Genomic DNA, 22427 nt, shown 5'->3' with positions numbered 1-22427 from the left:
TAACAGCTTGCTTAAAGACAAGGCTGAATAGGACAGCTGTCAAGGGCATTAGTGGTATGTGATGGGTGAGGACTGGAGAATACAGAAGGTATAATCAGAGTCCCACCAGGGCCAACTCTGGCTAAGCTGGTTTCTGTGTTCTCAGAACCCTCTGTCTGCTCTGGTTTCTCACTGGGGTTTCCTGTGCTTTCCGCCCGCCAACCGAATCACATTGCCTTTCCGTCTAGGTGCTGCTTCCTCCTCTTCTCATGGCTAACTCTTTCTCATGATTTAGGGTTCAGCTCAACTGTTACTTCTTCATGGAGGCTGATGCCTCCCAGTCTTCATCTTAAAAGTGTGCAGCTTTTATCACCGTCTATAACTATGTTACTTAATCATCTGTTTATTATTCACCGTGTGCTACAGAAGATGATCTTGATGAGAAGAAACTGCATGTTACCCAACAGTTTCTGGGTCATAGGCATGCATCAGGTAACTGATGAATGAATGAATGAATGAATGAATGAATGAATACATTAATCTCCAAGATTCCTTCAGTTTACGATATTCTGCTTGACTATCTAGTCCCTCAAAAGGCATTACCTTTCCCCTGTATTATCTCAAGCACCCTATTATAACTTTTTGAGTTAGTAGCATGTTCACCAAGGCTAATCCTCTTTAGCATGTTAGCCAGCTATGATGGCCACATTTTCACATAACAAGATGATTTCACCAAGTTAAAAACTTCTTTGGGATCTATTCGTAAAAGTATATATAAGAGTTTACATTTCTAACAATATAGAAAAATGTAGAGCCTCCATTATAAAACATCTAGAAATGTTGGAAAAAAATATACAAAACATACTTTTAAAAGCACTGACTTTATAAGATAGTACAAGAAATGTTCAGGAGCTAAAATTGAAACAGGTCACAAACCAGAGCAGTACAGAGACAGGAAGCCTGCGGTTGTCCTGGGAGGGAAGTGGGAGACAGGAAGGGGGCGCCATCGCACTAGCTCAGAGCCAATGCATGCGTGGAGATGGCAGATGAGGTCCTGGCTCCACACATATATAAGGCTGGGAGCTGGAACTGAAACACCAGTAGGGGACTCTTGAAGGACTCTATTTTCAGTAATAGAGAGGTCCTTAAATAAATCCACCCACTGACAGGGAGATGACAAGGTATTTTGTTTATTTCAGTCTGGGTTCTGAGTGAGGAAAAAGAAAGTCTGCCCTGAGTGTTCCTGATCAAGACCTGCCCCCACGTGGATTCAGGGCTTATCTTTTATAGCTCAAGAACTCTCAATCAAGCAATTCATGTAAAAATGAAGCCTGGTTTTCTACCCATGGGGCATTCGACGGAGGCAGTTGTAAAACTTTGCTGCAGAATCACACCTTCGATCCAGGCCTCACAGGATCCTCACAGTTAAAGGCTCAGTGTTGATAAATTCGCAATCTATATTTATGAAACACTCAAGCTACCAGGAGCAAGAGGCAGCAGATACCACAAACAGCATGACTGGATACCTAGGAATTTCCGGTGAGTCAGACATAGGCAATAAAACAGGTATCTTTAGAATGATTAAAGACGTAACACAATAAAAAAAAAAAGGAGAAAAATGCAACTGCAAAGTTGACGGAATAAACAAACACAGTGCTTAGAAAAGAAAAGTATATTCATTGAAGCTGAAAACTTAATTGACGCATTAGAAAGAGCAAAGGAAGCTGGAAGATAACATTAGCTGGAATAGCATTAGTTGGAATATGCAACTGGAGTAAGCATTAGCAAACTGGAAGATAGCTCTGAGCATGAATTCCAAAGAGATTGAGACAAAAAACATGAATAAAAAGGGAGAGATGTAGAGGATAAAATGAAAAGATGTCCAGTAAAAGTTCCAGAAGGAAAACATGGAAAAAATGAGGAAGAGGCAAAATTTGAAGATGCAATGACTAAATTGTCTAAAATTTTTGAAACATAAATTGTCTGATTCACAAAGTTTAAAAAGTCCTGATCAAGAAAAATAAAAATAAGTTCATTCCTAGTGTCAACAACAAAACAAAATGTAATGAAACAACAAAATGTCAAAGACAAAGATCTTCATAAGCAAAAAGTCAGTTAACCAAAATGAACAATAATTACATTGATATAAGCAACACTGTAAGTGTACTAATATCTTTGAGATGCATAGTTATCAAACTAAAGTTCTATGCCCAACTAAACCATCATTAAATAATAATAACAATTGAGAGTGCACCCCTAAAGGACCCTACTAGTAGATGCAATTCAGGAAGAACAAGGCTGACCTCAGAAGGAAGGAGTGAGATGCAGAAAGGTAGAGTAGGCAAGGAAATTAGTAAAATGTAAATAAATCTAAATAGATCTTGACTAAAGTTCTAGTCCAACTAAACCATCATTAAAATAATAATAATTGAGAGTACACCCCTAAAGGACCCTACTAGTGGATGCAATTCAGGAAAAACAAAGTTGAACTCAGAAGGAAGGAGTGAAACCGGGCGTGGTGGCTCACGCCTGTAATCCCAGCACTTTGGGAGGCCAAGGCAGGCAGATCACAAGGTCAGGAGTTTGAGACCAGACTGACAAATATGGTGAAACCCCATCTCTACTAAAGTAAATACAAAAATTAGCAGGGCGTGGTGGTGCGCGTCTGTAGTCCCAGCTACTCGGGAGGCTGAGGCAGAAGAATTGCTTGAACCCGGGAGGTGGAGGTTGCAGTGAGCCGAGATCGTGCCACTGCACTCCAGCTTGGGTGACAGAGTGAGACTCTTTCTCAAAAAAAAAAAAGGAAGGAGTGAGATGCAGAAAGGTATAGTAGGCAAGGATATTAGTAAAATGTAAATAAATCTAAATAGATCTTGATTATAAGCAGCAACATCATGATAGTGATTGATTTTGTGATTATACAATAGGATGGAATTAAAACAAAATGGAAGAGATTATTGGCTTAGAGTGTTCTAAAGTCTTTCTATTCTTTGGGAGGTAGATAGAGATATTTGTTAACTTTAGACTTTGAAATTCACATTTGCATGATCAAGTTGTAAGTATCATCACTAATACAAATGAACTGTATAATTTTCAAACCAATAAAGTGCTCTTAAAAAGCTCTGTGTTCTAGTGCAGTTGACAAAGTATTTCACAGCACCAGAGCCAACGTTTTTCTACCTGTTTTATAAAAGATCCTCCCCATCCTCCAAGCAGACTTAGAGGTTTTCTCCTCTCTGCTCTTGGGTATCTTGGCCAAATCTTTAGAGCAAGTGTAATGGCCAATTTCTTGGGTCAATTTCCTATGCCTCCTCATCATTGTGTCCCAGTGCCTGGCATATACCAGGCACTCTCATGTTTGAAGAAGGAATGGATATGACTTGCTCAAGTTCACACAGCTCTCAAGTGGCAGATAAAAAACAGGGACCCAGATTTTACCTCTTCCAGGTTTGTTCCATCCTTTGACACAATCTGAAAAAAAAAATTGCATTTTAAAAAAAAGTTGTATTTCAAGAACACAGTAGCTGCTTGATTAAAGCAAAAAGAAATCACTCTGAGGTGAAAAGCAAATGAAGGGAAAGAAATTTCATACCAGTAACCGTTGTCAGTCTATTGTTAAAAAAAAAAAAAAAAAAATCCACACTTTGCAGGTTGTGCTAGTGACTGAGCCAAGTCCCAGAACAGGCTTTTGGAATGACTGCCTTTTCCAGGGAAAACTTGACCACATTCACCTCGAGGTAGTCTCTGCTGGGGCATGATCCTAGGGAACTGAGAAGGCCCTCACCCACCAGCTTATCACTGCTAGGAAGTAAAACCTTCAAATATCCCTTGTTGCAATACAGGAACCTACTGGTGATCTGCTAAAGGGGTGGAAGGTGGAAGGGCTGGGAACTTCCTCACGGAAAATTCTGCATTGAAATAGCAAGGAAGGAAAAGTAATTGAAGGGAGAGTAGAGAAAAAAAATGGTGAAGATAGCAAATGCTTGGAGCTGGCTTTTTTCAGATTTTCAGCCTCAGTAACCCATATTTTAAAAGTGGAAACCACATTTGACCTTCCCTTATCTCACATCAAGATTGAAGACTCAGGAGGAAGTGGATCTTTTGAGATTCTTTGACTAGCACCAGATGACTGCATTAGAGTCTCTGAAATGCAAAACTATGTGATCCATGTGATATTTTCTCCAATCCTGTCTTATGAGTTGCAGAGCCAAGAGAAACAGATGGAGAAGGAAAATTATCGCGAAGTAAGCTTTCCTTCAAGAGTAGAAAGGTAACAGATGCCAGTAAAGGGAGGAAGGAATGAGTGCAGGCAGCTCTGGACAACAGGGAAAGGTAGGAGCTGAGAGTGGGTTTAGTTTGGGTTCATGTCTAAATTTACTAATCATCCAGTCACAGTGGTTCCCATCTGTAATCCCAGCACTTTGGGAAGCCAAGGCAGTAGAATCACCCAGGAGTCCAAGACCAGCCTGGGCAACATAGCGAGGCCCCATCTCTATTTCTAAAAATATATATATTTTTTTTTCTTAAATTTTAAATAATAAACTTACTGATGTCAGAGCCATGTGATATCTAGACATATGCCTTTGGCAAGAGGATTAAAATTCTTTTTTTGAGATGGAGTTTTGCTTTTGTCACCCAGGCTGGAGTGCAATGGCACGATCTCAGCTCATTGCAACCTCTGCCTCCCAGGTTCAATTGATTCTCCTACCTCAGCCTCCCAAGTAGCTGGCATTACAGGCGCCCACCACCACGCCCAGCTACTTTTTTTGTATTTTTAGTAGAGACAGGGTTTCACCATGTTAGCCAGGCTGGTCTCAAACTCCTGACCTCAGGCGATCGCCCACCTCGGCCTCCCAAAATGCTGGGATTACAGGCATGAGCCATCCTTCCTGGCCTAAAATTCTTAAATACAGCCTGGTTCATCCACTTAAACAATCCTTTCTCTCCTTTACCTGTCTCCCATATAAAGAAACACCAGAAAGAAAACATGCTCTGCAGAAAGACTAAAAGAAGTTAGAGAGAGAGAGAGAGAATGTGTTTGTTGTGTTTTCAAGAGTGGACTGAGGAATTTTGGCAGCAGGAATATGTAACATTTCTGCCACAGTGGAGTGACTAGGGTTAACTTTTTATTTCAGCCTTCCACTTGGAGGTCAGGTGAAGTTCTTTGTTTTCATTCATCTCCTTTGACACTTTTCACAAGATCATGGAGCTTTGCCAGAAAGGGACTTCACAACTGTCATAACATTTTAATCTCTCCAGGCCTGGGACAAGGTGGAAACCTACAGGTTCCCAAGGAGATTGTTTTCATCATTAGCATTTCAGCCAAAGCCTTAATGCTGCAAAAAGAAAGCATAATGTGGAGCAAGAGTTCCTGCTTTGGCCTATTCTGACTCTAGCTCTCCAGGGCTCTGATGAAGTCCATTGTGATCTAGCATTAGAAAAAAAATAAAAAATAAAAAAAATTTTTTAAAAAGCCTTCTCTCTTAAGCCTTGCTGCTATTCGTACTGGCTCAAAGTGCATGGTTTAATACTTGTAGCTATGAATACTTGCATATTTCCAAAGGCCTTACCGTACACATTTATTGGGAAAAATCTCTATTTTCTCCCAAGTGGGTTTGAGGTAAAAAGAATCCAGTAAATAGCTACGCATTTCATTAGACTGGATGAGGGTGTGGATTGCTGTCATTGTTTGCCCAAGTGAACTGCTGCTGTAAAGAAGCCCCTTACAAAATGTTACCTGCGGGACTGCTTTCATGTCTTCATTAACAACAGACACTTGGCATTAGTGAATCAACCACTGTGTTAATTAGAACTCAGACTTGCAGCCTATCCTCAGCTCATAGAATAAACACTGTTTTCCTTTGACCTAATTACAAGATGTTCTTAAACATCATCATTTTGTAAAAGAAACCATGACTACAAATTGCTTTGTGAACCATGCACATTGTTGGGACTCAAAATGTGTCTGCAGTTTGGAGAAAGTGTTTGCAGTTTGCCAGCAAAAATGCAGTCCATACGAAACAGTGGTGTATACAGGCAATGGGAATGATCTTTTTGCAGATATTATACACTTTTCTCTACCTTCCCTTACCTTCCGCATCACATAGCCCCTATCTAAAAAAAAAAAAGAAAAAAAAGAAAAAAAAAAAAGGTTGTCAGATCAGAATCCGAATAGCCTTTTATCTTATCAACAGATTTTATTTGGTAGGTTCCCCACAGTTGCTGGCTTTGGTGACATTTCAGATTAGGTTGTCATTTCTTCCCTTAAGCCCCAACAACAGCTTTCTATCGTCATGATTGATTAAAAAGCCCAGCAAACAAATAAGCAAATTGCTACACCACCACTATCAACCACGATAAAACTCAGAAACAAAAATATTTTCTTTAAGCCAAAGAGAGTTGATTAAATACCTCATAATGTACTGTGGGTCAGCTGTATTGGGCCACATTGGGTCATTATTGTAGAATTTTATTTTAATATGAACCCTGAGGGACTGTAATGCCTAGAGCCTTACTCAGCCCTGATCTCCCCAAATGCTCCAGTACCGTAAGGAAAAATATCTAGAGCAAGCCTGTCCAGTCCCCGGCCTGCAGGCCACATGCAGACCAGGACGGCTTTGAATGCAGCCCAACACAAATTCGTAAACTTTCTTAAAACATTATGAAATTATTTATTTATTTATTTATTTTTAGCTCATCAGCTATCATTAGTGTAGTGGTTTTATTGTTTTGTTTTGTTTTGTTTTGTTTTGTTTTGTTTTGTTTTGTTTTTGAGACGGAATCTTGCTCTGTTGCCCAGGCCGGAGTGCAGTGGCGCGATCTCGACTCACTGCAAGCTCCGCCTCCCAGGTTCATGCCATTCTCCTGCCTCGGCCTCCCCAGTAGCTGGGACTACAGGCGCCCGCCACCACGCCCAGCTAATTTTTTTTGCATTTTTAGTAGAGACGGGGTTTCACCACGTTAGCCAGGATGGTCTCGATCTCCTGACTTCGTGATACGCCCGCCTCGGCCTCCCAAAGTGCTGGGATTACAGGCGTGAGTGTAGTATCTTTTATGTGTAGCCCAAGACAATTCTTCTTCCAATGTGGCCCAGGGAAGCCAAAAGATTGGACACCCTTGATCTGGAGTATGAAAGAAAAAAACACATTTCAAGCGGCCTGTGGGATGCTGCCAGGAACCCCTCCGAGATTTCTAGTGCTGAGGACTCTGTTCTTCAACACACAAACCTCCTTCTGGGGAGGTGTTCTTGCTGAATATAACTACAGACCCTTGAGCAAAGGACTCCCTTACAGAAAACAGTGGCGAAAAGCTGAAATAATAACTGGGTAATATACAGGTTATTATACAGACTGGCATTCCAATACCACTCTGGAGAGCGTTGACATAGCAGTTCCAAAGACAATCTTTAAAAGTGTTCTGCCACAGGGCCACCGCTAGAGGGCAGAGCAGACCACTTCTGTTTTCAGACGCTTTCTCCGGAGGGGAAATTGAAAAGTTTCCTTTGAAGGATGAGCTGAATGCTGAGCAGACCTTCACACTTAAAAGCATTTCCACCCCTGCACTTCACCCTTCTAGGAGCAGAACAGTGGGTGGGCAGGCAAGCACTACTACGTAAATTGCATTGAAACAGGATTTCATTGGAAGAAAACACTCTTCCAGTGAAATCTGAAGTTTCATAACTTTGATAACTTTCATTTACTAAAATATTTCAGCCCTTTCCATGTGCCAGAGACTGTACTGAGAACTGGGGATATAAACACAAGTATTTCTTTGTTATTTTCCTCTATAGGTTTACGGTGTAGGTGGGCAGACAGACAAGTGAATTAATCAAGAGACAATAATGTCCCAAATGCAATATGAGCTCAAAGGAGGGGAACTGGGATTTCAGGTGGGGTGAGCAGATGGGATGGCTGAGAGTGTTGGAGGCTCAAAGGCCAAATCAGAAGTCACTGGGTGAAGGAGAGAGAAAAGAAAAAGAGGGAATTTTTTTTTTGAGAAACTGTTTTCTGTATAATAATATATAACCGAGAAAATTAATATCCAAATGCAAAATAAAAGAAAAAAGCCAATAGCTAGTACTAAAACCTGTTGTTTTTTAACCATAAACTTCTAGTTTTCAGAAGATTTGGGGTAAAAACAACTTAGGAAGAAAACAGCATAACCACGTTGACCTGAAATGAGCCCATCTGAATATCATTCCTATTGTGTAAGCAGAGTTACACCCGGGAATGCCACGAACCAGACTGGGTAGTCCTCTAGGAATGATGAGGGCTGATGGCTGCTATGTGAGGGTGGTCTCCTCACAGCAATCTTGTTGGAATGTCCCCATTCCTCTGACACACCACCAAATGCACCTGGAATGATGAACGCTAATGTGGTTCTCAAGCCATGCTACACGTTCACATCAATCAGGGAACTTTCAGATGTCCAGCTCTCTCTCTACCTCCCTGTTCTGATTCAATGTTTGAAAACTCTCTAGGTTATTTTACAGTGCAGTCAGGGTTGAGGCCTACTGAGTTATACACTGGTGATATTTCACAGGGGAAACATAAGATGACAGCTAGGGACGCGGGCAATATCATTTTCTTTTAGCACCAGGAAATAATTGAACCTTCTACTTTAATATTATGTGACTTTTTTTCTGAGATTACAATCTACACCTCAGTTTTGTTTGTTTGTTTGTTTTGAGATGGAGTCTTGCTCTGTCGCTCAGGCTGGAGTGTGGTGGGGTGATCTTGGCTCACTGCAACCTCTGCCTCCTGGGTTCAAGCGATTCTCCCACCTCAACCTCCTGAGTAGCTGGGCTTGCAGGCCTGCGCCACCAAGGCTAACTTTTGCATTTTTAGTAGAGACGGAGTTTCACCGTGTTGTCCAGGCTGATCTTGAACTCCTGACCTCAAGTGATCCACCAGCTTTGGCCTCGCAAAGTGCTGAGATTACAGGCGTGAGCCACCGCGCCCCAACTTATGTAATTTTTTAACTTGCACTTCAACACCTGAGATAGTTCGCAGGTAAAATACGTTATCACAAAGAAAACAATATGAAAATAGAAATGAGTATGCAGAGGGTAGATAATGTTGCAAAATGTTCATTTTTACCTTTTTCATTAGTCACTTTGTAATTTGTAAAGGGTCCCCCTCAGATAGGCATTGGAAAGCCCCTCCCTTTGGTCTCTCTCTTCAGAATCCTCTGGGTGCCTTTCTGCCCTTCCTTGAGAGTCCCAGCCTCATCACTGAATAACAGAGACAGATTTACCGGCTCCAGAGGCTCCCTCTTGGCTTCATCCTGGACTCTGGATGGCATCCTCTGCTGTGCTTTCTTATGAACGACGTGTGCTGACGGTTAGCAGTTTGGAATTCTTCATCTTAGAGCACCTACAAGGGCCAGGCACGGTGGCTCACGCCTGTAATCCCAGCACTTTGGGAGGACGAGGCGGGCAGATCACCTGAGGCCAGGAGTTCGAGACCAGCCTGGTCAACATGGTGAAACCCCGTCTCTACTAAAGTAAATACAAAAATTAGCTGGGCATGGTGGTGCATGCCTGTAGTCTCAGCTACTCGGGAGGCTGAGGCAGGAGAATTGCTTGAACCCGGGAGGCAGAGGTTGCAGTGAGGCAAGATCCAGCGCCACTGCACTCCAGCCTGGGCGACAGAGCGAGACTCCGTCAAAAAAAAAAAAAAAAAAGCATCCACACGACTGACAACCCTTACTGCTGGTACCACTCACCTCCAATTATTATGCTGACATATTACTTAATTTTGTCATGTTACTTTGTCTTTCCAAATAGCTCCTCTCCGTCAGGAGAGAGTGTGATGGGAGGGTGGAGAAAGATGTAAGAGGAGGTGGGGATAAGGGTGGTGAATCTGGCCCAGCCACATCTTTTTTTCAGCTTGCCAAGGGTGCTGAATGGGAGGTTAACGTCAAAAGGGCTGCATTCCGAACGAGTTGCTCCAAAGTGGTGTAGGGTGTACAGCAAGATTTTCTGTATTTCGGGGGCACTTTGACTCAAACTAGGGTTCAGGAAAGCCGCTGACCATTCAAGTTGATCCTCTTCTGGTCAAGAGGCTGCAGCGAGGGAGAACTCTAGCAAGAAACAGGAAACTGGAGGCCGAGAAATGGTGAGGGCTGGAGAATTCAATACTGGCAGCCCCTTGCTGCGGGAAGGCAGGGGAGCCGCTGCTCTGACACACTTGTGCCGCTAGAGGGCAGCGCAGGGCAGAGCAGCTACTCAAGCGCACCATTTGGGGAGCGCAGGATTTCAGCAGCTGGAGGAGTCACAGGGAAGCCATTCATAAAACAAGCATAGAATAAATTATCTAGCAAGGAAGGTTGCTTTGAAATATGACCAGGAAAAGGGTAGGCACCAAAGGTAACAATTGCTTTAATAACTTTGAGTAATGAGACTTTTTTTTTTTTTTTTTGACAGAGTATCTCTCTGTCTCCCAGGCTGGAGGGCAGTGGCGCGATCTCGGCTCACTGCAACCTCCACTTCCCGGGTCCAAGCGATTCTCGATTCTCCTGCCTCAGCCTCCCGTGTAGCTGGGACTATAGGCCCGCGTCACCTCGCCCGGCTAATTTAATTTTTGTATTTTTAGTAGAAACGGGATTTCACCATGTTGGCCAGGCTGGTCTTGAACTCTTGACCTCAAGTGATCCGCCTACCTCGGCCTCCTAAAGTGTTGGGATTACAGGCGTGAGCCACCGCGCCCGGCTGAGTAATGAGACTTTTCTGCAGTGAACATGGAAATAGGCTGCTTCAGAGGTAACGAGAGAAGGGAATTTTGAGATTATTTGAAACGGTGATTTATCTCAGTACAGACATGGCACATGTTCACTTCAGGGATATAAAATGAGCTAATCAGGGGCTACAGTGGCCTTCCTAAGTCTCATGAAACACTTCCAAAAACTTTCCATGCTTTCCCTAATTTTGTGCAGCAAACGATAAGAGACACTTAGGGACAGGGATTTGCTTCACATGAGAACTAGCCCAAGAAACCAACTACACGTGGACCACACAGACAGCATCTCCAAGAGTGATAGACAGTACTCAACCTCCATCGTTTCATTTTGATGGAAACAGAGTGAGTTTAAGGAAGGCTTTTGGTGAGCACGTGTTTTATATTTCTATTTCATAATGCTGGTATTTCTATCAGTCTTTCTGGAATATTTCTCCCCTAAATGCAGAGAGAATCAAAAGCAAGAAAAGTGGATTCTAGCTCTCAAAGAGTTTCCAGAGTCCTGAAGAAGCTGGAAAGTTATTCAGTCAGGTTCCTAACAGGAAGCAGATGGCATGCCCAAGGTAGGATCATTCTGGGATGGTTTATTTACTAATGCATGGGCAGAGTGCAAGGGACCCTCATGAGATGGTGCAGAAAGTAGCTCAGAGCTTTAACAGCAAGCTGTCACTACACCTGAATCTGAGGGAGGGGAGGGAGTACTCATGGGGTTGCTGAAGAGAGAGTCCGTGGAGAGAAGTCCAACTTGTAAGAAGGACAGTGATCTTAGGTTGCAGCCAGCCCCAGGTGACCACACCCTCCCCTCCTCTCCCTTCTCTCCCCTTCCCCTCCCCTCCCCTTCCCCTCCCCTCCCCTCCCCTTCCTTTCCTGTCCTTTGTCCTTTGTCTCCTTTTCCCAGAGGATAAGAGGATTGGTTGATACAATCCTTTCAGGTCAGACTTCCAGGGGAGACATCAAAATGGACATAATCCCACTTACCTGAAATAAGACATGAATGTAACTGCTACTACTTGTGCAGAGGTCCACCTGGCAATACTGCAGGCCCATCTGGGCAGCATTCAAAGAAACGAGGGCTAATGGCTGGCATGTAGGAATCAGTTCCTCAGAGCAATCATGGTAATAAAATAAAGTTGAACTCTGTCTAAATGCAGTTCTTTGTAAATATGTCTTTTCTCTGGCTGCTTTTAAGAGCTTCTTTTTATCTTTGATAATATGAAATTTGATTATGATGTACTTTGGTGAGAGTTTTTTTTGTAGTTTTATTTTTTTATTTTTTGCGTGGGGCCCTTCAGGCGTCCTGGATCTATGGAACAGCACACCACATCACATATCATATCACTTTCGGAAAATTCTTAGCTAGTATCTTCTCCCCATTCTCTTTTCTGTCCTTCTGGAACTTTAATATTAAATCTCCTCTTTTTTTTTTTTTTTTTTTAGCTTGTCTGTGATATTTCCCATTTATTTTGTGTCTTCGTACTATAGTCTGTGTAATTTCTTCAGATAATTCTCAGTACACCAATACTCTCTGCCTGCACCTAATCTGTTGTTCAGTCCATCCATTGAATGTTGTTTTCATTTGTTTTGTGTGAGGGCAGTGGGAGGGGTGAGCGTACAATTGTTTCTTTTGAAATCTACCTAGTCAGTTAACAGTCTCTTCCTGGTATGTAATTCTGATTTCCTAATTTCTTCCTCAAACTTCTAAATCATTTATATTCTGCAAACACTAACGTTAACATCTGAAATCTTTGTAAATGTGATTCCTCTGCAGGTTTTCTTAGCTAACTCCTGCTTATTGGACTTTGTTTCCTTTTTTTACAAAAAAAAATTATTTGATTCTGTGAGTTCATAGTTATTGGAGCATTATCTGCAGGAATGCTGTATGTCTGGGTTGTTGTTGGTTTACCCAGAAAGAATTTATGTTTGCTTTGGCCAGGAGCATAAGGGAGAAGAATGCTACCAGCCTGGTACTACTACTTTACCTTCTTGGCTTGGGATTTGGAGAGACCATGCAAGCAGTGTGAGTTGGAGCCCCAAACCTGCACAGAAGTTTTTTGGTGTTTGTTTGTTTGTTTGTTTTTGATACAGAGTCTCACTCTATCTCCCAGGCTGGAGCACAATCTTGGATCACTGCAACCTCCGCCTCCCGGGTTCAAGCAATTCTCCTGCCTCAGCTTCCCAAGTAGCTGGGATTACAGGCATGCACTATCACACCTGGCTTATTTTTGTAATTTTTTATAGAGACGGGATTTCACCATGTTGGCCAGGCTGGTCTCAAACTCCTGACCTCAGGTGACTGGCCCACCTCAGCCTCCCAAAGTGCTGGGATTACAGGCGTGAGCCACCACACCCAGCCGCCAGGAGCTTGTTCTTACTATGCGTTCTTAGGAGAGGTGGGTTTTGTTTGTTCGTTTGTTGTTGTTTTCCATTTTACTTAGAGGAAAGGTCAAGACCAGCAAAGTTTTTTACTTTCAGTCTTTGTGGGGCAGCCCTTTGAAATCGTAGCTTAAATGGGGCTTTCTGAACTGAATATCACCTTGCAAGGTCCCTGCCTCCCATGTGGCCCTGCATCCCATGTAGCTCTTGAAATCAGAGTTCCAGGTCCCAGTGCATGGAAAGATGCCCTTTAACCCATCCACGGCCTTGATGCCATGTCCTCTCTGCATCTGTGCCATGTCCGTAGTCATGCATGGACTGCCTTTGAAGACCTTATTCCCTTGTCACTGTGAACTGTCTATTTTAAAAGATTTTTTTTAAGTCTTAATCTAGCATTTGTAGTTAGGTTAGCAGTGATATTTTTAGGATGTTTTCTGCAATATTCCCAGAAACTCTCAGATCTTAAATAAGAGATCTATGATAGTAGCTTTTTAAAAATTATTATCACTTTATGCTGGATACTGGCTAAACGCTGAATATCTTATCTCATTTAATCCTCAGAACAATACTACGAAGAAGGAATAATCAATTCCACACTTTATAAAGGAGGAAAATAAGGTTCTGAGAAATTAAGCTGCCAGGAGTTATGCCATAGTTATGAATTGGTGAAACCAATTTGTCTGATGACCAAGTCCATGTTTTTATCCACAATAAACAGTTATTATGGTGCTATCTTAAAGCTTTGGAGACTATTTAGTAAATGTTAGCACATCTCTTCTTCCCTAAGTGCTCAACCAAGCTCTTTTTTTTTTTTAAACCACAGCCAAACTTAAAACAGCCTGTATCAGTTAGAGTTCACACGGGAAAACAGAGCCATTCCAAGTCTTATAGGGATTTGGGGTTTAATACTGAAATTGAAGCTTACAGAATGTGAGAGGAGCTGGGTAGTACAGGAGGTCTGGATGGAGAGTTGGAGGATCAGAGAAAGTTGCTAACCTCCTTGGGCTGCAGCAAGCTGGGTGGGAGGGTGACAGCTTGTGGAAAGATGTGGAGAAGCTGTGTACATGGGCCACCAACATGGGACCACCAAGGAAGAGCTCATAGAGAGGCCTGTGGAAACTTCCACCTCCATGGAACTCCCAGTGCTGTGGGCCTCAGCCAAGTGCTGGTTGGTGGGCTTTGGGCTGCTGTTGGTTGGTCAGATTACAAGTTGAGAAGACAGGCTGGACAATGAGCAGAGAACAGCCAGGCCAAGCTGGTGCCTGCTGGCCCCTCTGTGTCTATAGGTCACCGTGTCAGCCCCATAACCTTCCAGGGATAACGGCCTCTTGCTCACATCTGCCTTCCTTCGAGTTCTTCTCCTGGCAACTCTTACCCAGAATCATAGACAGAAGAGGATCGTGGTAAACAGCCCCTCGCCTTAGGAGAAGCAGTGCTGACCTGTCTGCAGACAATCCAGCACACATCTCTGTGATATCTAGATCAGGTGGCCCTTCAAATGTCTGGGACATAATATAAATACACGTTTAAAAAAAAATAAATGGGACCTAATTAAACTAGAAAAGCTTCTGAACAGCAAAAGAAATAATCATCAAAGTAAACAACCCGTAGAATGGGACAAAATATTTGTAAACTATGCTGACAAAGGACTGATATCCAGAATCTATAAGAAACTCAAATAAGGCCGGGTGCGGTGGCTCACGCCTGTAATCCCAGCACTTTGGGAGGCTGAGGCAGGTGGATCACGAGGTCAGGAGATCGAGACCATCCTGGCTAACATGGTGAAATCCTGTCTCTACTAAAAATACAAAAAAATTAGCCAGCGTGTTGGCGGGTGCCTGTAGTCCCAGCTACTCAGGAGGCTGAGGCGGGAGAATGGCGTGAACCCAGGAGGTGGAGCTTGCAGTAAGCCAAGATTGTGCCACTGCACTCCAGCCTGGGCAACACAGCAAGACTCTGTCTCAAAAAAAAGAAAGAAACTCAAACAAATCAGCAAGAAAAAAAAAAAAGAGTCCCATCAAAAAGTGGACAAAGGATGTGAGTAGACATTTCTCAAAAGAAGATATACAAATGGCCAATAAACATATGAAAAAATGGTCAACATCACTAATCATCAGAAAATGCAAATTAAAACCACAATGAGATACCACCTAGCCCCAGCCAGAATGGCCATTATTAAAAAGTAAAAAAAGAAAAAAGACACCCTCGGCAGGACCCGGTGGCTCACGTCTGTAATCCCTGCACTTTGGGAGGCTGAGGCGGGCTGATCAGCTGTGGTCAGGAGTTCGAGACCAGCCTGGCCAACATAGTGAAACCCCATCTCTGCTAAAAATACAAAAATTAGCCAGGCGTGGTGGCACGTGCCTGTAGTCCCAGCTACCTGGGAGGCTGAGGCAGGAGAATCACTTGAACCTGGGAGGCAGAGGTTGCAGTGAGCCGAGATCACACCACTGCATTCCAGCCTGGGTGACAGAGCAAGACTCTGTCTCAAAAAAAAAAAAAAAGAAAAAGAAAGAAAAAGAAAAAGGCACCTGCACACATATTTTTATCACAGCACTATTCACAATTGCAAAGACACGGGACCAACCTAAGTGCCCATCGACCAATGAGTAGATAAAGAAAATGTGGTATATATACATCATGGAATACTACTCAGCCATAAAAAAGAACTAGATTTGTTTTTTGCAGCAACGTGGATGGAGCTGGAGGCCATTATTCTAAGTGAAGTAACTCAGGAATGGAAAACCAAAAACTTTATGTTCTCTATTATAAGTGGGAGCTAAGTTATGAGTGCACAAAGGCGTACAGACTGATATAATACTTTGTAGACTCAGAAGTACAGAAGGTGGAAGGGTGAGAAGGGAGTAGGGGATTAAAAACACTATATATTGAGTATAATGTACACTACTCAGGTGACAGGTCTACTAACACCTCAGGTTTCACCACTGTACAATTCATCCATATAACCAAACACCACTTATACTCCAAAAGCTATTGAGATAGATAGTTGACAGATAGATAGACAGATGCATCTGCATCTCCCTATGTATAATATATAATATAATCTATCTATATATAATAAATACATGTTTAAAGCACAGTATTACCTTTCAAAAAAATTTAAAAAAATTGATTGATTTAAAAAAAAATCAATGAACACAGTATTTGGAAGTCCACTTGATTTTATTATCACCAACGGAATTATGACACAAAGCTTAATACAACTTTTGAACTTAGGCCTGGTATTTGTCAATCAGCTAATTACCATTAGGCCACAAGACAGTCTCGCTGTTGTCTAAGAAAAACTCAGGAGCTACACATTGAAAGACTTTTAAATACTGTCATTTGCAGACTTAAGATAACTCCCATTCTGAGAACCCTGAAATGAGTTATAGTTCCATCTGACAAGATCCATAAAGAGGTTACCTCGAGTTAAAACCATTATAGGCAAATAGTCTTATTGTGGGTATTCTGTGTCCTTATGCCCTGTTCTTATTTTGCTTTGTTTTTTAATGCTTTCAGTAATTTGGTCTTCATAGAAACAAGTTCCGAAAAGTTAAATAATAAGTATTACCTTAAATACTTGAGTCAAATTTCCTATTTGCCTAAGTGAAGCCACCTTAGCCACTATGTGTATCCCAAAATATATACAACCCGTAGACCTATATCTGGTTAATCAGTGAGAATTGACCCCATCGTGTTCAAAAGTCAAGAAAAAGGATTCAAAATTGAGAATAAGTCTCAGATACCTTCCTAACTTATTACTGCCTTGGGAAAAAAAATCTTTCAGGACTAAGTAGACTCTTCTAATTTATTATCAACTCACTGATATTTCTGGAAGTATTTCTCTCTCTGCTTTCTGAGTTCTCCTTTCCGATGTTGAGAGACTTCTGAGTGTACTGCTTTTTGGATTTAGTTTTTTATGAGGAAGACTCATTTTGAAACCAAAGCTCAACAAGCCGTTGTTAAGATAAATGACTGACTAGCTAAGCAGCAGCAGGTGCCAATGTTTTCTGTCTCCACAGAAACATGAGCACAGTGACCTCTAGTGGACACTACATAGCCAGAAAGCCTAATGCTCAAAGTGGAGGTCAATCATGGAATGGTAAAAGCTCTTTTATTTTTTCTTTTGATGTGGAGTTATTGTCAGATTCTTCCAAGAATCATAACTGAGGCAATGTGAAAAGTGACCCTTTCTCTCCATACTTCCTCTCCAATCTCTTTTATTCATATCAATCAGGAACTTTTATTAGTGAAAACCTTCAAATGTTGCCAGCTCTCACCCCATCATGGGCCCCTCATTTCCCTCTACCTGTGCCGACTGCACCGACATCTAACTCAGCAATGCAGTGGCTTGCCAGGTGTTTTCATTACTGTGGGGCTTAATGAAAAAACAGGTGCTGGCTTTGCCCCAAGCAGACCGAATCAGAATCTCTAGGCGGGATCTGAGAATTATTTTCAGAAATCCACGTATGAGTCTAATACCCTTATAAAGGTCAAAGCCTGCCATTCTCTGCCTCACCATTTTTCTTCAATTAAAAATATTTTAATTTTAATTTTTAAATTTATGTGATCCCAAAATCAGAAAATAGAAAACACAAATATTTACGTATCCAGCAGAACATTTTCCTACAATTCTCTGCATCTGTCCAGTCCCCCATAAACATGTCCACTAAGGGACCATTTGTCCAAGGTGGTGTCCTGTCCTCTTAGGGTTTTTCTCTGCTGATACAAGTGAATACAAACATAAATTACCATCTTCCCCATTTTTATACAAAAGGAAACAAACTATACAAAGCAAAGTATACTATAATATACAAAGTATTTATACTTTGCTACCGTGTCTCTTTTAGATCCTTTCACATCAGTAGGTAGAAAGCCTCTTCATTCTATTTTTCTAAAGCTGCATGTCATTCCTTTCTATGAGCATATCATAAATTCTAACCAGTTCCCTATTGAAATGTTTTTCCCCACCCTTTTGCTAACGAACAATGCTCCAGTGACTGACCTTGCACATAGATAATTTCATGTGTATGCCAGGAAAAAATTTCCAAAGTGGAATTGCTAGGTCGAAAATAATTTGGTAATAATATAATAAAAAATAAAATAAATAATAATTCTTATTTTATTTTATTATGCTTTAATTTAAAAAATACATTTGATCTTTGTCCCCAGGTTCTTGGCACAAAGCTTGGGAATTTGAATTTCCTGATAGGAGGATATTTGGTTATTCATAACAAGCCCTTTTTGACTGTACCTGAGTTTATGCTAAAGAGGTGACTCATGACAAGGCCCTTAGCTTCCAGATGGGGGTTGGTCACCAGAGAAGCCAGCCATGTGATTAGAGGGTTAGAACTTTTAACTCCACCCTCTGACCTGTGGGAAGGGGAAAGAGACTAGACATGGAGTTCAGTCTTGTGACCAGTGGTTTAATCAGTCATATCTGCATAATGGAACCTATATAAAACCCTTGGACCATGAGACTCGAAGAGCTTTCCAGCTGGTGAACACATCATGTGCTAGGAGGGTGGTACATGGAAGCCCTGTATTCCCCTATCCTCATATCTTGTTCTATCCATCTCTTCCATTTGGTTATTCCTAAGTTGTTTCCTTTATTATAAAACTGTAGCACTCTCAGTGAGTTCTGTGAGCCATTCTAGTGAATTACTGAACCTGAGGGAGGTCATGAGATCCCCCAAATTTGTAGTCAGCTAGGCAGAAGTACAGGTAGCTTGGGATACCTGAGATTGGTGGCTGATGTCAGATGTGAAGGCAATTTGGGGACTGAGCCCTTCGCATGTGGGGTCTGTGCTAACTCCAGGTGTTTAGTATCAGAGAGGAATTGAAGTGTTGGGCACCCAGTTGAAGTCATAGAATCAGTGTCAGAGCATACACACCATTATCACAATCCAATATGAGGAACCTTTGTGGAGTGATGGAAATCTGAAATCTTTCAGTTCTTTACTTACCTGATCTCTTTGCAGCACTGGACATGGTCAACCAGTCTTCATTCCTAAAACCCTCCTCTACTGGTTCCTGAAAACTAAACTTTTCACCTTCCTCCTACCTCTGACCACCTCTTCCCAGGCTCCTTTGCAGGCTCTCCTTTATCTTTTTGTGCCTAAAATAGTTCTCCAGGTGTCTTTTCCCAGGTCCAATCTCCTGTGCATTGATGACTTCTAAATTTGTATCCCCAATCCCCCAAGTCCTTCTCATAGGCTGATGACCAACAGTCCAACGCATTTTTGGACATTTCCTCACAGATGCATTGAACTCACTAAAACGAAACTCTCCATCTTTTCGCTTTGCTTCTGTGCTCTCTGTTCCAAACCTGCTTTGGGTCATGTATTCCGGTCAATATGAACTACAACCATGCCCAAGTAGACACCCTATTCGAGTTGCTCTCTGTGATTTGCCCTTCGTTGAAGTCATCCTAATTAGTGCAGCCAATGTTCTGCCAAACAAGAGGAATTGCTTCTTGTAGAAAATGTAAAAATAAAAGAGAAGATTTCAATGCAAATGAAGAAGATTTAGTCATGACTGAAGAGCACAGGCTAGGAAAGCGCTGTCTGGTGGACCAAGACATTACCTTGGACACTAAACCATGAAGCGGGGCCTGAAAGGACTCCCTTTTACAGAAGACCTACAGGCTTCTCCCAGAAGATGGAATTAAGGCAAGCACGAAAACTTGGAGGCTACCTATTTACCAACCTTTTTAAAAAAAGTTTTAAAAAAATTATAATTTCTGCAGGATTCCTATGTGACCACAGTGCTAAGTGCTTTATATATATTATTTCATTATTGCTCACAATAGGGCTAGGCATGGTGGCTCACTCCTGTAATCCCAGCACTTTGGGAGGCTAAGGTGGGTGGCTCACTTGAGGTCAGGAGTTTGAGACCAGCCTGGCCAGCATGGTGAAATCCTGTCTCTGCTAAAAATACAAAAAAAAAAAAAAAAAAAGGCCAGATGTGATAGTGCACACCTGTAATTCCAGCTACTTAGATGACTGATGCACAAGAATTGCTTAAACCCAGGAGGCAGAGGTTGCAGTAAGCTGAGATCTCACCACTGCACTCCAGCCTGGGTGACAGAGTGAGACTCAGTCTCAAAACAAAAAAACAAAGAAACAAACAAAAAATTGCTTACAACAACCCTGTAATCTAAGTGTTGTTTGCTCCACTGTTTAGATAAGGACATTTGGGGTTAGGAGGTTATTTGCCCAAGGACAACCTAACTTGTCAATTCTACAGCTTGAATTCAAGTCTACCTGTAAAACCTGTAGCCTGATCCGTGACAGTAGCCAAAGCCTTTTTTTTTTGGTCACAAAGGTAGTCCAAAAAGTTATCTGATGATGCTACATCCCTCTGAGTTTTTTAGGCTGGGCTAAAAGCATCATTCTAACTGCCCTATAGTTTTTATTCTGTTTTATTGTAAAGCAATGATTCATACAGTTAGAACTACCCAGGGTTAAATTCCTTTTTGTATATATTAAGCACAAATAGCAAAGTGCTGGATAGCATAATTACTTTTGTACAAAAATATGTACTTTATAAATAGATAGTATTTTAGGATATTTGCTTTTTTATAATGGAATGTTGGGGATAAGAAGGGAATGAGGTTGCAGCTAATCCTATTGGTTTTGTACAGTTCTGTAAAGATTAAATTTATAAGTGGGTTAAGTGGATGGGGGGATCGTGGTCCATGTTTTGGCTTGTTTTTATACCTCTTTGGATTAAAAAAATCAATATTTATTACTTTAAAAACTACCTTTTAGAAGTCACTCTCAAACTATTTTTCTACAAAGAGCCTTTTCAATAAACATCTTAGGAAAGTGCAGAGGTTGAAGAGCATTTCATGAGGAAGTCTTCTTTCTGGCTTCTGATAAGGCATGTCATTTAAATGAACAATTCTGCAGGTCACCCTCCACCTGAAAAATTACTGAATGCTCCCAGAGTCCCATAAACAAAGATCTTCTTTGTCCTTGAGCCAAACCCATATGTGGTTAAAGACAAAGTCAGCTTGCTTTGAAGTTCAGAGAAAGAGTTGACTACAGTACTTCACCACTGAGAAACAATATGACCCTAGCTCACTCTTATGGACGGGGTGCCTTTCACCCTTTGCACCTGTCAAGGAAGACAGACTTTTTTATCTATTTTCTTAAAAGTGGCCATGCAGCTTTATAAAGGTGTTTGTGGAAGTACTTCAACTGAATTTATATTGGAATTTAGAAGATGTGAAGATAAAATACTTCACATAAGAAAAATACTATGTTTTCTTATTACTTATTAAGTAACGAGACATTTCACTGAAATACATAAGAAAAGTACGTTTTACTTGTATGTGGTCCTATTGCATATGTTGAATACCTTTTAATAGCTATTCTGAATATTAAGTTTCAAACCTTATCAGTCAAAGGATATAATTTATAAGAGTCCCCTTAAGTAGGACGTGGAGGTCAGATGTTGGGCAGGAAAGCAAACAAACACAGAAACTAACAAATTTTCACTATGCTTTCCAGGAAAGGGACATTTTATCAGAGTCCTGAAGGACGAGTGGTAGCTAACTAGATTAAAGGAGGGGAAAAGTAGAAAATATTTCAGGCAAAGAGAACATCCTGTCTGAAGTCCCCAGCCATGAGGAAAGACAGCAGTATACAAGAAACTGAAAGAAAGCCATGGAGCTCAGACCGCTGCAGGGACAGTGGCCCCGAAAAAGGCTAGGCACAGAATTGTAGGCTATGCTGTTCTTGCCTCTATCCAGAAACTGACAGAAAATCATTGAAAGGTTTTCACTATGTGTGGGAAGGTTTTAAAGACGCTGTCAAAAAGTCAGCAGCCTAGTTTTTTCCCTTTGAGGGTAATCCTCTTTCACCCTGGCTACTTTTTCATTATGACATGTTTTGTGTGGATTAGTGTCCTTCGCCAACTGTGAAAAACTAGCCATCATCTCTTCAGGTATTTTTTCTTCCCCATCTTCACTGTCTCCTCTTCATCAAGAACGCTAACTGGATGTCTGTTAGGTCTACTTACTTTGTCTTAATCTCTCTATCAGGTTTTCCATCTCTTTTTCTCTCTTTACTGCATTCTGGAAAATTTCTTCAGAACACTGTGGTTCACTAATTCTTCAGCCTGCAGAATTTTTTTCTTTTTTTTTTTTTTTTTTCATTTCTTGTGGTTGTATTTGCTTCTTTTTCAAACTTAGATGTTCAGCTTCTTTATAATCCTATTCATTATTCAGGTTTTTCAGTTTTTCCTTCATTTTTTTAAATTAAGCTTTTAATTTCGAGATAATTATAGACTCACACGCAGTTGTAAGGAATAATGCAGAGAGCTCCCATG

The 22427-nt window shown here is 41.4% G+C and overlaps 1 long non-coding RNA gene across 2 annotated transcripts in view, besides 3 other annotated features; it reads right to left on the bottom strand.

Moving 5' to 3' along the window:
- LOC124901334 (uncharacterized) overlaps positions 1–9614 on the bottom strand; it is a 47524-nt gene extending 37910 nt beyond the window's left edge. Inside the window, exon 1 of one of the 2 annotated variants that reach the window (XR_007059621.1) lies at positions 9235–9614. This is a non-coding gene — a long non-coding RNA (uncharacterized LOC124901334). The remainder of the gene's footprint in view (positions 1–9234) is intronic. The other variant, XR_007059620.1, reaches the window with a different exon arrangement.
- Positions 788–1987: an enhancer, noted in NCBI's record as "P300/CBP strongly-dependent group 1 enhancer chr6:53599001-53600200 (GRCh37/hg19 assembly coordinates)". NCBI's record gives its function as "activates an origin of replication core promoter dependent on BRD2, BRD4, P300/CBP, MED14 and CDK7 cofactors, with strong dependence on P300/CBP, by STARR-seq in HCT116 cells {active_cell/tissue: HCT116}" and the evidence as "EXISTENCE:reporter gene assay evidence [ECO:0000049][PMID:35650434]".
- Positions 5439–5956: an enhancer, noted in NCBI's record as "NANOG hESC enhancer chr6:53595032-53595549 (GRCh37/hg19 assembly coordinates)". NCBI's record gives its function as "activates a minimal SCP1, AML or CMV promoter by ChIP-STARR-seq in primed H9 embryonic stem cells {active_cell/tissue: H9 hESC(primed)}" and the evidence as "EXISTENCE:reporter gene assay evidence [ECO:0000049][PMID:30033119]".
- Positions 13250–13435: a silencer, noted in NCBI's record as "fragment chr6:53587553-53587738 (GRCh37/hg19 assembly coordinates)". NCBI's record gives its function as "represses an EF-1alpha promoter that drives an FKBP-Casp9 reporter gene in an ReSE screen in K562 erythroleukemia cells {active_cell/tissue: K562}" and the evidence as "EXISTENCE:reporter gene assay evidence [ECO:0000049][PMID:32094911]".

This window comes from Homo sapiens, chromosome 6, assembly GCF_000001405.40.
Source record: "Homo sapiens chromosome 6, GRCh38.p14 Primary Assembly".
Lineage (NCBI taxonomy): Eukaryota > Metazoa > Chordata > Mammalia > Primates > Hominidae > Homo > Homo sapiens.
The sequence above is the reverse complement of the archived record's forward strand: the minus strand, read 5'-3'. Positions and strand labels throughout refer to the sequence as shown.